At 41.0% G+C, this 18,528-nt stretch overlaps 2 annotated features.

Annotated features, from left to right (window-relative positions):
* Positions 10,056–10,922: an enhancer, noted in NCBI's record as "NANOG hESC enhancer chrX:139436606-139437472 (GRCh37/hg19 assembly coordinates)". NCBI's record gives its function as "activates a minimal SCP1, AML or CMV promoter by ChIP-STARR-seq in naive and primed H9 embryonic stem cells {active_cell/tissue: H9 hESC(naive and primed)}" and the evidence as "EXISTENCE:reporter gene assay evidence [ECO:0000049][PMID:30033119]".
* Positions 15,310–15,811: an enhancer, noted in NCBI's record as "NANOG hESC enhancer chrX:139431717-139432218 (GRCh37/hg19 assembly coordinates)". NCBI's record gives its function as "activates a minimal SCP1, AML or CMV promoter by ChIP-STARR-seq in primed H9 embryonic stem cells {active_cell/tissue: H9 hESC(primed)}" and the evidence as "EXISTENCE:reporter gene assay evidence [ECO:0000049][PMID:30033119]".

Genomic DNA, 18,528 nt, shown 5'->3' with positions numbered 1-18,528 from the left:
TATTTATTTATTTATTTTGAAATGGAGTCTCACACTGTCGCCTTGGCTGGAATGCAGTGGCGCGATCTCGGCTCACTGCAACCTCCACCTCCCAGGTTCAAGCAATTCTCCTTGCCTCAGCCTCCCTAGTAGCTGGAATTACAGGCATGCGCCACCACGCAGTATTTGTATTTTTAGTAGAGACGGGGTTTCACTATGTTGGCCAGACTGGTCTCGAACTCCTGACCTCGTGATCCGCCTGCCTCAGCCTCCCAAAGTGCTGGGATTACAGGCGTGAGCCACCGCGCCCGGCCGTCATTTTATTTCTTTTGGATATATACCCAGGACATCTGTGGTTCCTGGGTCCTGGAATATGCCTTGGGTGAGGAGCTGGGGTTGTTGTGGGCAAGGGGTCACCCTGGTCCTGGGTGGCACAACAGCAGCTCCTTCTTCAGGCAGGGTGCAGTAGCGTCTCTGTCTCTGGGGAGTCCGCAGTGACCATGATTGTTGGATAGCTCAGTGGTAAAAGCTGCCAGTATCCTCTGTGGGGCAGCCGATGGGATCCATGCTAACCACCACTAAGGGGACCTCCACTGTGAAAGCTGCAGGGAGTCCATGACTACCACAAGGGCTGCTAAGTTCCTCATCAGCAAAGGCTGCCGGGGTTCTCTGCAGGACAGGCCACGGAGGATCATGTTGGCACCTTCTGCATGACTGATACTGATGGCTCAACCTTTCTTTGTCTCCAGATGTCTCAAGTATGCCATTTCAGTTATTATTTTCGTGTGGTTTTTCTCCATATTTTACTCCACTGTGTTTCTTCAGGTTCTTGGTTGAACTATTGAGCCCTCTCTGATCTATCTATGTTTATGGATATCTGTATAATTGTTTTTTTTGTTGGGGAACAAAGTCTAGTATCTCCTACTCTGCCATCTTGCTGATGTCACTGTCTCAGGACATAGGTTTCTGATGTGGTTAATTCTGAAACTTGGGATGTCCAAGATCAAGGCATCAGCAGATTTGGTGTCTAGTGAAGGCCCACTTTCTGGTTCATAGACAGTGCCTTCTTGCTGTGTCCTCCCATGGCAGAAGGGTGAGGAGTCTCTCTCAGGCCTCTTTTATAAGGGCTTCCACTTATTCAGGTTTTAAAATTTTTCTCCCTGTAATATTATGTAGTTTGTATTCAGTTATTCTTTGGTAAAATTTTTGGGACAATTTTATGATTTTCGTGCTATAGTGAGTGGCATCACTTTAGAAAAGTTGCAAATTGTTGCTAGCGTATACAAAAACAAGAGATTTTTGCATATTGATCATGCAGTCTACAACCTAATTGAATTTACTTATTTGTTCCCATGGCTATTTTGTGCACTTCTTATGATTTCCTCTACTCACACCCATGCCATTTGCAAATAAAGACCATTTTATTTCTTCATTTCCAATTTGTGTGTCTTTTATTTATTTATTTATTTATTTGCCTTATTGTACTGGTTAGAACTGCAGGTGCAATATGAATTGGAAGTGATGATAACTGATATTCTTGCTTTTTCCCCATTGTTAAGGAGGTAACATTAAATATTTCACCAGTAAAAAGTATATTCACTGTAAGTTTTTACGTAGAAGGCTTTATCAACTTTAGAAAGTTTCCTTCTATTCCTAATTTGCTGAAATACTTTACGATGAATGGCAAATGGTAAATTTAATCATGAATGGTGAATGGTCCTGTATTAGTTTTTCTATAATGTGTAACAAATTGCCATGACTTACTGGTTTAGAAAAGACATTTATTAGCTTACAGTGCTGTAGGTTAAAAGTCTAACATGGAATTCCTGGGTTCTCTTTTTAGAATCTCACAAGGTTGCAATCTAAGTGTTGGCAACTGCATTCTCATCTGGAGCTTGGGGTTCTCTTCGCAGCTTTGGGGATGTTGGCAGAATTTAGTTCCTTGTGACTACAAGGCTAAGGCCCTCAACTCCTGGAGGCCACCTGCAATAGGCAGTTTACATCATAGCAGCTTGCCCTACTTTTAATTTTCATTATTTTTTGCTTGGACTACTGAAATAGTGACCAACTTGGCCTCCTCTTAGGTCCCTTAGGTCCTCTCTTACTCATGTTAAAATTTACATCTGATTATGTCACCTCTTAAAAAAAAAAAAAAGAAAAAAACAAACAAAAAAACTCTGATGACTCCTGACTGCCCAGAGAAAGAGGTCTAAACCTTTGCATATGGTAACGAAAGCTTTTCATGCCCTGACCCCAACCTCTCTCTTCGGCTGCCAGTCATAAGCAGCCTATTTTTAGAGCCGTAGGATGTGCCATGCACTTTGGCATGCTTGTCCCAGCAGCTGTTATTTCCTCTACCTAGAATGTTAGAAGTCACCTCCTCATACTCCAGCACCACACATAGTCTTTCCATCTGGAGAAATCTTATTCACTTATGTGAAAGCTAGGCTCAAATGTCACTTTCTCCGGGATGCCTCTTCAATCATTTTCTTCTCCAGGGCCCACATATCCAAGTGTCTAATTTTGGGCACATGCTTTTTAATTGAATATCTGTCTCCTAATAATCTGTAGTTATCCTGAGGTCTGAGACCATATTTTATTTATTTATTTATTTTCTGAGGGAGACTGCTCTGGACCAGGCTCTGTGGAGGGGTTGCAGGTACAAAGATGAGGAAGGCCATCGAGAAGGAAATTCTGAGCAATAAGTACACAATTACAATACAGTGTGATATGGACTGGGCTAGAGTGATACACAAAGTGCTGTTGGTGTGCAGAGAATAGGGAATTTAGTTGTTCTGGGGTGAAGGTAGAGGTGGAGAGAGTAAGGAAAAAAGGCTTCACAGAGAATGTTCCACTGGTGCTGGAGGCATAGAGAATAAATAGAGAGGGGAAATGGTATAACATGCCAGTAGAAGAAAAAACCCAAAGGTCTGTAATTGTGTAGTGCATAGCTGGAAGGGATCTCAGCTCATGCACAGGTGGACTCAAAAACCTAAATAGCAAAACTTGAGATTTTATGACACATGCTAATTCCACTAGTGGTGGTTCCCTGGAGTGCTGTGCTAAGAAGGATTCTTTTTTAATTGAGGTAAAATTCACATACCATAAAATTCACCCTTTTAAAGTATACACTTGAATGGCTTTCATATATTCACAGGATTATGCAACCTATCACTGCAATGTAATTCCAAGACATTTTCATCACCCCCAAAAAGAAATCTCATATGCATTAAGCAGTCCCTCCCCAATTATCCCCTCCCCCTAGCTCCTGGCAACCACCAGAGCCCTTTCTGCCTCTACGGATTTTCCCATTTTGGACATTTTACATAGATGGAATCATATAATATGTGGTCTTTTCTGCCTGTTTCTTTTACTTAGCATCATGTTTGCAAATTTCATCCATGTTGTATCATGTAACAATACTTCATTCCTTATTATTTCTGAATAATATTTTGTTGTATGGATGGACCACATTTTGTTTATCCAGTTGGTTCTGAGAAGGATTTTGAGGCCAGCTCTGGGAGCATCAGGGAAGAAAGCCATGGCCATGGGTGTCTGTCAGGTGCTGGGGGAGAGAGAGCTGTGGTGCTTCCCATGTACCACAAATTTTCTATCCTGCTGACAGAGGAGTGGTTTCATTCACAACTACTGCCCAATGTGATCTGAGATGTCTAACAAATTGATACAATTGTATACTTGAAGAAAAATGGTACTTAATAGCTAGACTATTTTCTAAGATACATTCAGATCCCTACAGGATCATAAGAAGTCAGAGTTAGAAGAGCGGGAAGAGATCATCCACTACTCTCCCTTTGTTTTCTTGCTAGGAAAGCAATCAATGCCACCAATAGCCTTTCTAAAATTACAACATTTCTTTTCACAAAATAGCCCAGGGACTTCTAAACACTGGGGGACATTTTCAATAGACGAAGAGAGAATGTTGAGAAAACCCTTCTGCAAGTAGAGATTGAAGAAGACATGCTGCTGGAAGATACAGAGGTGAGAGACCAGAGAGAAAAAGAGAGACAATGGCTGCCTTGCTTCCTGGTGGGTTTTCACTTCCTACCCTAGAGTTCTGCGAGACTTCTAGAATCTTTATAATGCTAGCTCAAGTGGGATTCTATTATTTGCAGCAAAATTCCTAAAATTCATGGAAAAGTTTCTCTAGCCCAGTTTTTTTTCAGGCCAAGGGAAACCCTACCTCTATAAACTCAAGCATGTGTTTATCCAAATGACCCCTGAGGGCAGTGATTCGAATGCATATTCCGAGATGCTTATTTATCAGTGGTATGTAGGGAATGTTGTTCCCCACTTACAAGATCCAGAAATCCTGCTTAAATACCCATGTGCCCATCACTGAATGTTCTTAACTTTTCCTTGGAAGGTTTCTGATGAATAGAAATTTTATACTTGGAAGGAGGGAAGTGAATAATTTAAATGTGTTGCTTGAAGAACTATACTACAAATTAACCCAAAGGTAAAAATGATAGACTAACTTGGAAATGCAAAACATTAAACAATTGGGAGTAGATTAGGAAAAGTCATCTCTGTGCAAAGAGCCCCAATCCAACTTGCCTCGAAGCAAAACTTCATAAAATAATCTTGGTTGTGTGCCTCCAATCAAAATACAAGGTAATTAAAGACCGGTAGGAACATGTAGTGACCTCTTAAAATCCAGACTGAAAATGGTGAAAAGAAACAAAACTATAGTAAAAGAAATCTTTGTTTTAGTGCTAATAAACTTTTTTCATCTCACCATTTTTAAATGAGTGTGGGAGTGAGGCAAAATCTAGACAAACTTTCTCAAAAACAAAACATGCATAGGTCTTCCTCCCTTCTTTGAATAAAGAATCAGTGCTGACTCTATGCAGACACCTGCTACTTGGCACTCAGCCAACTTGCTAACCAACCCTGGCTTTCAGCCCAATTAGCTAAGCACGCGTCATCCAGAACACGTTAATTATTCCTAGTGATCTCCCAAAGTATCCGATGGGATTATACAAAGAAAGGTGGACATAACCTTCTTTTACAAGGACATTTACTAAGGAAACACCATTGCATGCATTCTTGAAATTTCGAGACATTCCTATAAATGCATAATATCAGAGCTGGCAGGCACCTTCATTATCCAAGTCTCATTATCCAAGCCCTTCATGAAAGGGAGAAACTGGGGCACTCCCAAAAGCTTCCAATAAACTACAAGTAGACAGAAGATAAACATAAAAATAAAAAAATAATTGAATAAAGTCTACTATTTCAGATACACTGTAGGGAGAGAAAATACATACTATGGCATTTTTGTGAATTAAGTGATAATAATTCACTTTTAATTTCAGTTTATTTGGAACAAAGAGGCAAGATTAGAGAGGATGGGAATTGATAGTTTCAAATCCTTGCCTGCCATTTCTTTTCAACAGTATTCCTATGCCTCAGTGTCTCCATCTATAAATAAGGGAGCAGGAAAATTTAAAAGTAAAACAGAGTAACATAATGGTTGCAAACACAGACAGCTTTGAAATTGTCTTTTTCCTGGCTATGAAGGTGCATTTGGTGAGAGGTTCATAGTTCATGCCTAAGAAAAATCAGTCTTATATTTATTCATCCCTCATGTACTAGGCTGTAGGTGCTCCCCCTGTAGATTTGTGAACCTCTCATGTGCATTATGTTATTTAATTATCAGCAGAACCATGTAAGTTGTCATCGACCCCATGCTACAGATGGGGAGACAGAATCAGAGAGTTTGGGTTATCTGCTTGAGGTCACAGAGCAAGAGTCAGAGTGGTGATTTAAACCAGATTTCTGAGTCCAAGTTCATGTTCTTTCCACTATACTATGTTGCCTTTCACACACTCGTATAATCTTCACGTAATGTACCATATGCCCCACAGCACTTTCTACACATACTAGGTATTCAATCCAGTGGTTGCTTTAATGAAGAATGTACAATTACTGTGATATAGGCAATGTTTTCAGTACTTTACAGGTTTCAAACTACTTTTAATCTCACAACAATCCTGTGAGGTTGTTTCTATTATCCTAATTTTGGAAATGAAGAAACGAAGGTGTACGGTTTTAGTAACTTGCCCAAGGTCATCATACCAGTAAGTGGTTCATCTTCTGCCAAGTTCTGACTCTTAACTTTTGGTATTCACTGCAAGTGTGATGAGCGCTCTTTCTTTGGCATCCTCCTGATGGTCAGAAGGAAGACCAGAAGGAGAGACCAAGAAATACAAAAGGTGCAGTTAGTTATGTTCTAAACAGAATGTGGGCTGGGGGAAGAGGGAGCACAGCTCCTAGAAGTTAAGTCAGTTAAGTCAAAGTTACACAGAGAGCATCTCAGTGGCAGAACAGAGACTGTTTGTGCAACCTTCCATTGGGAACAGATGGTGGTCTTGTCTGGTCTTGTCCAGTCATACCCTTTTTGGTTGCATTCATTGCTAACTTAACAGCAAAGAGAACTTAGAGGAGCAGAAGGTCTATTTCTTCAAATGAACATTGATTTCATCAAACGGCACATGGGAAATATTCCCCAAGTAGCAGACTTGTTTTAGAGTGCCTATAATTCAGAAACTCATTCATTTGAAGCCATTCCCTCTGTATTCCTATCACTTCCTTCAATTTTAGTCTTGTCATTTTATTATTTCCATGGACAATTCTGTTGGTATGAAAGCAAGATATGGGCTCTCATCAAAAGCAAGCCTTTGATGTTACTTATGAACATCAGCTAGAAAGTCAGCAAAGCCAGAGAAGAGAGAGTTGGTTTACAGATCTCAAAGGCAACAGAGAATGCTGTCCTCATCAAATTGATCAAAGTGTTGGATTTAATTACACAAATATAGCAATTTGGTGACCTTTTATAATACTTTCCCCTAGGACTGCAGAGTGGGAAAGCCAATTCATTTTTCTGCTTGATTGCTTTAGACTATTACAAACTGTTCCCTTGGGAAGGGCAGAAAATCAGTTATGATCTTTTGTCTCTCATCCACAGTACAGGAAAGTCACTGCTTTCCAGTGAATGAGGCATAGATTTCCCCCTGATTTCACTCTCAATCCCCTAATTAGGTGACTATTATGAAAACTGTTGAAATTTAATAGATGGAGGCTGCCCTCAGAAGAGGCCAAGGGACCATAGAGGCTCATAAGTGATGGCATTGTCCCCCTAACACCTGGATGGGCAGTTAGCTTGTAATTCTTATCATGGCCCAGCTTCCTTTGGCTCTCTGGCCAGGAACCAATGTGAGAGTGTACCTTCTGGAAAGCAGAGGTGTTCACTGAGCTCTAATTACTCTCTTCTAATGGCTGATCATGGACACTTCTGTTTTCCTATCTACAAAAATGACAGCTATCTTTTGGGTAACTAACCACTCCTATTTTGTGCCCAATTCATAGTTCTGAAGATATGGTCTGCTTGTGCCCACTCTCCACATGGAGCTAAAGGCGCCAAGGAAATCAACAGATTTCCTCCTAGCCTTCTTTGCCCATAGAGACTAAGAGTAGGGTCTGAGACCTTCACAGCCCTTGGGGTGGTTTAGGCTGCATGGGAAGAAGGTTCTTCTCCTTATCTGACACGTCTCACATTCCTTCCACGGGAGAGCAGAAAGCTCATTTCTTATTTTTTAACTTTTTTTTTTTTTTGAGATGGAGTCTCGCTCTGTCACCCAGGCTGGAGTGCAGTGGCATGATCTCGGCTCACTGCAAGCTCCGCCTCCCGGGTTCACGCCTTTCTCCTGCCTCAGCCTCCCGAGTAGCTGGGACTACAGGCACCCACCGCCACGCCTGGCTAATTTTTTGTATTTTTAGTAGAGACGGGGTTTCACCGTGTTAGCCAGGATGGTCTCAATCTCCTGACTTCATGATCCGCCCGCCTCGGCCTCCCAAAGTTCTGGAATTACAGGCTTGAGCCACCGCACCCAGCCGATTTCTTAACTTTCAATTAATTTATTTTTAAGTATATACCTCAATGATTTTTAAATAAGTTTACAGAGTTGTACAATCATTGCCATAATTCAATTTTATAATTGAATTAATCACTCCCAAAATGTATCTTATGCCCATTTTCTTCCATTCCTGATTCCCACTCCCGGGCAACCACTAATGTGCATTACCATTTCTGGACATTTCATATCAGTGGAATCAAACAATATTGGGTATTTTGTGACTGGTTTCCTTCACTTTGTATAATGTTTTTGAGGTTCATCCATGCTGTAGCATGTATCAGCAGTCCATTCCTTTTCCTTTTCCATTCCTGCTGAATAGCATTTGAAAGCTATTTCTTTGTTCCTCCCTAACTCCTCAAGATTAAAAAAAAAAAACCCAGATGTGAAGCCCTACACAATCCAGCTGACTTCTCCAAATTCACCTCTTACACCTGTAGCACTTCACTTCACCTCCCATGCTGCAAGCATATGGCCTTCTTCCGAATCCTCCAGTGTGCAATGATCTTGTCTACTGCAGTGCTGTTGAAAATGCTGTTCCATTTCCCTAAACACTACCCCCTCCAACATGCATGTATGTATTTCACCTGGTTAATTCCTACTCATGCTTCAGGTCTCTATTGAAAGCACATTCCCTCAGAGGAAGCTTCCCTGACCCTGTAAATTAGGTCTGACTTTTCTTTTGCTTGCTCTCTTAGTATCTCTGTCAAGAGTTCTTGTTGTATGTGGAAGTAGCTCATGATTTATAGAATTATTTTTTAAATGCCTGTCTCTGCCCTGTCCCTTCTCTACCTCCACCTCCCCCCAATTCCCTGCCCCAGCCCAAGAGCTCTAAGTTCCACAAGGACTAATACTCTCTGTTGTGGTTACCACCAGCCCAGGACCAGGAACATAGTAGGTGCACAGTAAACATTCACACCTTGCCTGCCTGCCTGAACCCTTCCTTGCCTTTGGTGCTGCAGATGGTAGGTCTTCTCTTTCCATGTTCAATTATGTCAGCAACAGCAAGGGGAATCTGTACTTTATATGCCATGGAGTTTCCTAAAATGTGTCCGTCTATAAAGATGTGCTGTTTTCAACTGATAGCATCAATGCACTGAAGACAAACACAACCTGACAGCTAGAATGTAGTCACTACAAAGTGTCCGTGAGGCCAGCTACATGGCGTGGAATGGAGGGAATGTGACTATGTGATGAGAACCCCCAGTACACTTCTCAACTTTTCAAGTAGCTCCCGGGGAAGACCTGGGGGCAACCTTGTTCACCGAGGTGCTCACTAACGCTTTCATGTAATGCCAATTCCAGTGCGCTGAGCGGCACTTTGACTGGCTGTTTGTTTGACTCTGCTTTCAACACCTCTCTTGAAAATATGACATATGTCAGAATGAATCCAAGTAGCCTTTAAGCCAGCTTTTACGGCCACACAAAGGTCTTCACCCATTGGTCACACTGAAAGACACTTGATGCTGTTTGAGAACACTCCTCTTAATCTGCTGATAACCTTTTCTGTCTAGCCGGCAAGACCTAAGAAAACATTTCTTTTCATTTGGGTCCATTTTAAATGAAACAAGTAAAAAACATCAACTGTTAAAAACATGTCTCTTTGTACTTGTGCATCTTTACTTTTGAGTCTTGGCAGGAGATTTTTAAGGGGCAAATGGACTAAATGAATGAATGCCAATCACAACAACAGCGGTAGAGAGTAATAATTCAATTCAACAAGCAGTTATTGAGTGCTTACGATGTGCGGGGCCCTGTGTGCAGCCCATGGGGGATAGAGATGAATAAACTGCAGTTTCTGCCCTCCAGGAGCTCATAATCTGGAAGAGGAGACAGATGCGCACATAAATAACACTAATAAGGATGACACTGGGAAACGCTGGAATAGAAGTGCAAGCAAAAGGCTATGGGAATATGGGGAGGGGAAAATTAATTTCAACCGAGAACATCAGGAGAGCTTTCTTGGCAGAAGAAGGGATAAATATGGCACACTGTTTTATTCTAACAACTTGAGAGGAAAATAAATGCCATTAAGACTTTAGACTATTCTGGCTGTACATAGATGGGGCCCCTGCATTGTCTTGGAAGCCCAAGTTCCACTTTAATGCGGTTAATTGGTAGAAAGAAGCTCCTTCAGGCCCAACAAATCCTAGAATGAACAGTTCTGCTTTACCCTTCAGGACACAGATCCTGTCCTGACTCCCTGATTCCTAACCACTAGCCAAATAGTCACACAGTTTGTAAGCGATGATACTGGCTTTTTATTGCTAAATTGAAGCCACCTCCTCTTAAACGGCCTTAAATCCACCTGGTGTGTGGGGAGACGGGGGAGGTGTGTACATATGCTCTCCTGGCTGGGGCCAGCTCACTGTCCAGGGTTCTTTTGCAAATATGACTTCATCCCCATTCAAACCTGCCCTTGGAAAAGGTCATATACTCATATACCCTCGGACTGCAGAGACCTGACAGTGCTAGTGTTAACTCCTTTTAGAGGCATCTGCATTTTAATGGGAATTCAAACCTTTACCATTGGGAGAATGGGGGGTCAGATAAGGTCCTTGGGCTGGGCTTTACCTAAACCTGGGATGACTCTGCTTATTTGGCCTAAGGGTAGAAAATAGTTTGCAGCTTTGTGGGAAATGATGGTTGCCTCATTTAGTAAAAAAAGAAAAAAGGAAAAAACCTGTCAAGCTTTAAGGATGAAAGCACTTAACAAGCAGGGAACAACAGCTAATTAGCATTTCAAAGAGGGGGGTAACAAGTAATAAATACTGTGAATCCCAGAGCCCCAGGATGTGGCCTCTGATGAACACTCTCACCTCCTGTACCTCTCTACCTTGTTTGGCAGCATATGGGCTTTAAAGCCTAGAGGAACCCCGGGCTGGATTACTGGCTCTGCGACTTGCATGATAATTTGGGCAAGTAACTTAAACTCTTTGAGCCTTAACTTCCTCATCTGTAAACTGGGTCCAATGATAGAATTGTTGTGAGGATTATTGACCTAATTAATGTACAAGGCCTAGCACACTACACTGTATAAAATAGGAATACAATATGACTTCCTCACCTTTTCTTCTGCTGTGTCTGTGGGGAGTGGGGGGTGGGGCGGGGGCGGGGGAACAGGGATGTCCCTGTTCCTTCTTTCCCCTCTCTCCCCTCTAAAACCAGCCATTATATGGGAGTGAAGCATAATTTTAATACTTTCTGTGGTTAACCGTCAATGTTTCCTCAATTTAAAAGTAGATTAGTTGAATAGTTTATTTTCTTTAAAGTGTTGTGTGTATGTGTGTGTTTGTGTGTGTGTGTGTGTGTGTGTGTGTGTGTGTGTGTGTGTAGTGGCCTGCAAAATCTCCCCTCTAGAGGTTATGAATGTTCAACAACAACAAAAGTTCTCCACTTCCAGCTTAATAAAGAAATGATCAGAAGGCCGAGTGCGGTGGCTCACACCTGTAAGCCCAGCACTTTGAGAGGCCGAGGCGAGCGGATCACCTGAGGTCAGGAGTTTGAGATCAGCCTGGCCAACATGGTGAAAACGCATCTCTACCAAAAAAAAAAAAATTACTCAAATTAGCCAGGAGTGGTGGCATGTGCCTGTAATTCCAGCTACTCGGGAGGCTGAGGCAGGAGAATTGCTTGAATCCGGGAGGCAGAGGTTGCAGTGAGCAGAGATCACACCACTGCACTCCAGCCTGTGCAGCAGAGTGAGACTCAGTCTCAAAAAAAAAAAAAAAAAAAAAAAGCCAGGCGCAGGGACTCATACCTCTAATCCCAGCACTTCGGGAGGCCAAGGCAGGTGGATCACCTGAGGTCAAGAGTTCAAGACCAGGCTGACCAACATGGTGAAACCCCGTCTCTACTAAAAACACAAAATTAGCCAGGTGTGGTAGTGCATGCCTGTAATCCTAGCTACTCGGGAGGCTGAAGCAGGAGAATCACTTGAACCCAGGAGGCAGAGGTTACAGTGAGCCAAGACTACGCCATTGCACTTCAGCCTGGGCTACAAGAGCAAAACTCCATCTCAAAAAAAAAGCGGGGTGGGGCAGGAATGATCAGAGGATTCTGCCAGCAGCTAAGGAAGCTACCACATATTGGGAGTAATAGATTTTTCTCAGGACCCCAGAATTCGTCTCATGAAAGTGGCTGCTTGTTTTTCCTGTGTTCAATTCCTACTCTCTATGCTGACCACATTCCCTTTGTTTTTTGTCATATGAAGGTCAAAAGAGTAGAGCAGAACACATTGAAAAGGTACATGAAATATGTCCAAGCGATAAGTTATCCCTGTGGCCAGGTATAGTACAAGTAGGGAAAAGGAAGGGGGATGGCGATGTTAAGAAAAGCCTAATTAGCAGCCCTGTCCATTTGCTTCTCCAGTCCCTTGGCTTTAAATATTACGTGCATGATCAAAAATTAGCCTGGCCTGGTGGTGGGTGCCTATAATCCCAGCTACTCAGAAGGCTGAGGCAGGAGAATCACTTGAAACTGGGAGGTGGAGGTTGCAGTGAACTGAGATCGTGCCATTGTGCTCCAACCTGGGCAAGACTCTGTCTCAAAAACACACACACAAAAATGTATATGCTGAGAACTCCTAAATTTACATCTCTAGCAAAGACCACTCCCTACATTTCACACTCATGAATGTATCTTCAACTCAACATCTCCACTTGAATAGATATCTTTAAGTATGTCTAAAACCCATTCTAGATCCCCATCTCCCAAAACTTGATCATCCTTCAAATGTTCTGATCTCAATAAATACAATCACTGTTTATCTAGTTGCTCAGACCAAATATCTTGGACTTATCCTGGACTTTTATCTTTTTTTTTTTTTTTTAGCATCTTATATCTACCCCCATTAAAAATCACATTGACTCTGTCTTCAACTTATATCTGAAAAGTAACTCTGTCCCCCCAGCCCTATCATTGGGACTTCGGTCCAAGCCACTAACATCTCTTGCCTATATTAATAGAGTAGCCTCTAAAATGCTCCCCCTTCCTTCCATTCTTGTCGGATCATACCACTCCTCTGCTCAGAACCTTTCAATGCTAACCCATCTCAGAATGTAATTAAAAGTTCTTGTCATGGCCTACAAGGCCCTGTGTGATCTGGCTCCCTTCTACTCCTCTGAGATCATCCCTACTACTGTCCCAGCACTTTGATCTAGCTCCATTCACTTCCTTGTGGTTCCTTAAACACACCAAGCATATTCCCACATCAGTGCCTTTAAATTTTCTGAACTCTTCACCTGAAATGCTCTTTACCAGATATGTGCAGGCCTTGCTCTCTCATTTAATTCAGATCTCCTCCCAATTTCTCCTCATCAGAAAGGCCATGCTCACCACTATAGCAGAAAGAGCACACACTAACATGCACTCCTGTTGGTCAGTCTCTGCCCCCTTACTCTGCCTTGGTTTTCTTCTTTATCAATTATAATACTACAACATATTCTTTGGTTACTGTCTTTCCTGCCCAGTAAAAAATAAGCCCCTTTTTATTTAAAAAAGTAATGTTTAAAAATCTGAGTTTTCTGAGACTTCCCTATACAAATTATCTGGCTTCCTTAAGAGCCTCTCTACATTTTCTTCTATTAGATAATTTGTAGTTGTAGCCAGAGTGGCATTTTAGAGAGCTTCCCAACCCTCTTGAATTATCTTTTCTTGTAGAGTCATGCTATGAACTTGGACATTGGACCTCACAAATACCCCTTGTCTTAGTCTGTTCTCAGGCTGCTATAAGCACTATCTGAGACTGAGTAATTTATAAAGGATAGAGGTTTCATTGACTCACAGTTCCACATGGCTGGGGAGGTCTCAGGAAACTTACAATCATGATGGAAGGGGAATCAAACAGGTCCTTCTTCAAGTGGCAGCAGGAAGGAGAAGTGCCGAGCAAAAGGGGGAAAAGCCCCTTATAAAACCATCATATCTCATGAGAACTCACTCACTATCATGAGAACAGCAGCATGGGGGTAACTGCCTCCATGATTCAATTACCCGGTCCCTCCCACAACACATGGTGATTATGGGAACTACAATTCAAGATGAGATCTGGGTGGGGACACAGCCAAACCATATCACCCTTTCTGGTGGTCAAAGACTTTGTGGTTCTTCATTCATTCTCTTGTTACATTTTCATCACTTCCACTTTCTGAACCACTCCCCCAGTTAGTCAGAATTAATTCTAGACTCACAGTCTCTCTAGTTGTTTTCTCTAGGTTCCAGAAATTGTCATCACAATTTTAATACCTTTTCAGCTGCTTTCCAGTCAGGTGACCTTTAACATCCCACGTATAATATACATAACATGCATTCTCAAATTCAAAGCTTTCTAATCACATGTATATTTAAAAAAATACAAGCACATGGTATAAAATCAACCAGTGTAATGGCAAGTTATGTGAAAAGTGAGTGCCCCTTCTTCTTTATTAGTTCTCCAGTTACTCTCCAGAGGCAACCACTTTTTCCAGTTCCTGTGAACCCTTTAAAAAAAACTCCATATTTTTTGGAGAGGGGAGTAAATAATCCACACCATTGTTTTAATAGAAAATCAAACAACTCAGAAACAAAAATAATTTTTTAAAATCTAAAATAAAATGCACTATCTAGAGATAACCATATTAATGTTTTAATATATCCCTATAGATACCTGTGTGTATATACTCAATTGCATATAAATGGAAACACACTGCACATGTTCCATTTTCAGCCCTTTAAATGTAACAGTATCATGGACTTCTTTCTATGTCAACACCTATAGATCTAAGTGAATGTCAATTTAATATGGCATATGACTTCACCTAGCAGATATGCTCCTTTTAGATAAGACAGCCTCTTCTGCCTCCAGTCTTTAGATTTGTCTCACTAAATTCCAGTGAATACTGCAATCCCACTTGTACCACTCTGTACTAGACCTTCAAGTTGGCTTTGCACATCACTTGGATTAGCTCATAGAAATTCTAGGTGGTAAGTGGTATTTACAGCCACTTTTCAATCAATATTCTCACAGCAGTATTATTTGTTGTTAGGGTCTTCAAAGTCAGCTTGAAGGTGAAAAAATGATATGGAGGTCTCATGGAACAGTATTCTAAGAGAAATACCTAGGCATCACTAATTTTTAACGTATATTTATTGAGCAACTAATATGTTGTAGCAATAAACAAAATAGATGAAGATCCTTGTTTTTGTGCAACTTGTGAGAGGGGACAAACAGTAGCCAAATAAATATATCAGATAGTGATAATAGTAGAGAAGAAAAATGAAGCAGGGTAAGGGGCAGAGAGTGACCAGCAGAGGTGGGTATATGTTTTTGCCATTTCAGCTGCAGTGTCAAGGATAGCCTCTCCAATGATGGGCAGAGATCTGAATGAGGTGAGGGGCAAACCTTGCAAATATCTGGGTAAAGAGTATTACACGGCGAAATTTCAGCAAATGCAAATGCCCTGATTTGGGGATAGGCTTAGCATCTTTAAGGAACAGCAAGGAGGTGCTTGTGGCTGAACCAGAGTGTGAGGAGAGTGGTAGGAAATGACACTAAGGACAAACCCAAAGAGGATCACCAGCTGATGTAAATAATTTCAGAAAGGTGAAAGTCTCCAGTGAGCTGAGATTAGGAGACAATGTCTCGGATAAAAGCATTAGGCTTTGTTAGCTTTGTTCTGAGCAAGAACAAAGAAGTCAGGGGAGAGATGTGCTGCTTCGGGCTGGAGGGGTATTGCTGATGAAAGACAGGAAAAGCAGAACCCTAGAACTCCAAATTAGTTGTATTCTCTGTAAAAGACAATGAGCTTAAGACGGAAAAGTTTAGAGAAAACCTTAGTGAGAAGCAGCAGAAGCCTCAAATTGAGATGAGAGTGTAAGAGAACACATAGGTGCTATCTAAATGTGTTTTAAGCTCATTACCCAGGTGACTGTGTCCCCATCTAAGAAACCTTAGAAAAAAGAACACAAGGAGAGATAAAAAAAAAAAAAAAGAGAGAGAAAGAATGCTATTATGGCACAATTTGAGGAATCAGAGCAAATAGGAGAAGATCTAGAATCAAGGAAATGGATATTTACTTTGATTTTCAAAAATGGCAAGAAGTTAGATTCTGGACACAACAAATCAAACATCTTGATGTTAAGATCAAATAAATATATCAAATGAAATACTAAAGTACTAAAACAGAACTAAAATTTTGTACTAAAGTACTAAAACAGAACTAAAGTTCTGTTTACCTAACAGAATTTATAGTGGTTTCTCAGGTCCAGAAACAGTCTTTGGTACCCAACATGGGTTCACTAGGAACAAGGTATGTCTGACTAACCTCAGCTCCTTCTTTAACAGGGTTTTCAGATTGGCACATATGAAAACATGGTAGGCAGAAAATCTGAACAGCATTAAGGCATTTGTAAGTATTGTGACTTGGGTGTTAAGGTGAAAGAAATATTCTGGTGGTGTGCCTCAGAGGTCTGTCTTTATCTTTGTCCTAGTGAATGCTTTTATAGATGACTTGCATATGTAGACGGTCCACCTATTAAATTTAGATATGACACAAGCTGGGGAGACTAGGGTTAAGACTGATTGAACTGAGATCCCCAAATAATTTGAATAGAATGATGGATGAAATTTAACTCAATGAAGTTTAATAGTTAGAATAAATACATGATTTTGAATCGAGCCCCCAAATTCTCATAAGAAGCTTAAAGTCTTAATTGACTGTAAATTCTCCAGTGTGATGTATGATATAGCCTCCAAAAGAGCAAATGTGATCTTAAGATTTCATCATACTGGAGTAATTTCTATAAGATATTAGACGAGTTCTCTGGAGGCAGGGACCATGTTGAGTTTCTTCACTGTCATATATCCATGACATAGCATGGTGCCTGCTACATGGGATATACTCATTGATTAAATAATGTGGTTATGCTGGTTTATTCTGCTTTGGTTAGATCATAGCTAGGTTTCTGTTCTCAGTTCTGGCCACTGCACTTTGACAGAGATATGGACAAAGTCAAGAGAGTCATCAGAATGGTAAAGGAATTAAAAATCATACCCTAATGATTTGTTCAACAAATGTTTACTGAGCACCTAGTATATGCTAAACAAGACAGATGTCCCTGTCCTCATGATACTTATATTTAGCTGGAGAGATATACAAACTCAAAAATGGATACATAATCATCTTTCAGGGAGTGATGTATACTATGAAGAAAATATATCAGGATAAAGGGATAGTGATGGAGATGGGGGAGGTCATTTAGATACAATGGTCAAGAGAGGTTTCTCTGAGGAGCTGATATTTGAGAAAAATGAAGTAAGGAAATAAACCTTGCTGCTAGGTGAAGGAAGAATATTTCCATCAGTGGAAAAAGAAAATATAAGAGAATATGCACTTCATATTTGAGGAACAGAAGGAGGTCATGTGGCTGAAGCACAGGCAGGTAGAAGATTAGGTTACAGAAGTAGCCAGGGGCTTGATATGACAAAAGTCACAAAAGCTTGGAATAGTTAATCTGACTGTTGGAGTGGAAACAGTAGTAAAGTAGAGCTAAGGAAAGAGGGGGAAGGAAACCATCTTCAAATATTTATAGGTCTATGATGTGTAACAGAGATTAGACATGTTCTGGGAGACACCACTAGACTCCCATTGGCTCAGTGGGTTGAATCTAAAGAAAGAAAAAATTCAGTTCAATAAAAAAAAGCTTTCTACCTCTCTGAGCTATTTTAAGATGGATGGGCTGTCTCATGTAACAGTGATCTCCGTATCTCCATATCACCGGAGAGATTCTAGCTGAACTGAGGATATATCTCCCCACTTGGTGGGAGCTTGGTGGGAGGGAAGACCTGGAAGGCACACTCAAGGCTGGGAGGGAGATTAGATCAGATGACCTTTAAACCTTCAGATTCTAATTCTTCAGATTCTGGTAATCTAAATTTGTGTCCTGAAATATTAATAACACTTCTTTGATACTAATTATGGTCAAGGTAAATACTTGCTTTCTGGTGGATCCAAGATTACACACAATGCTCAAGGTGAATTTAATAGTCAAGACACTGAGTAAAAATGTCAGAAAGCATCTGCATGTCTTTTCATGGAATATATGAGTGAAAAGAGTCTAGGAGGTACCAGGTTACTAAAGTTTTAATACTTCCTGTGTTTGGCTACAGAAATGCCCCTATGTGTACGTTACAATAAGGTAACACAAACATACCTTACCCTGTGTCTTTGTTTTTTCCCTGAACAACTGAAGGATCATTTAGAAGAAATGGAACTCAACTAAATTGTCACTAAGCCAGACTGTTAATCAGCTTGGGCTGGCCTCTCTGCTGTTCAACAATTAGCGTGTTACTGATGTGAAGGAAAAATGGAATCAGGAAGAGTTAGGAAAAGCCAGCCATTGCCACTCTGGACTCTTTGCAATGGCCATACCCAGCTTCAGTCCCAGGAGCATTTCAAGCCATTCTAGCACAGATTCCCTTGATGACAGCATTGTAAATAATCTGCACTATTTGCTTCTGTTTCAAAACATGTCCTCCTCACGGTTCAAAAACTCATTATTCTTCAATGCTGAGCCTACAGGGGCAGCCCAATTATGAGGTCATTCTGAAAGAATTCTGAGAGAAAAAAATACATCTGCC

Source organism: Homo sapiens, chromosome X, assembly GCF_000001405.40.
Source record: "Homo sapiens chromosome X, GRCh38.p14 Primary Assembly".
Classification (NCBI taxonomy): Eukaryota; Metazoa; Chordata; class Mammalia; order Primates; family Hominidae; genus Homo; species Homo sapiens.
Note: the sequence above shows the minus strand (reverse complement) of the source record. Positions and strands in the feature narration are given on the sequence as shown.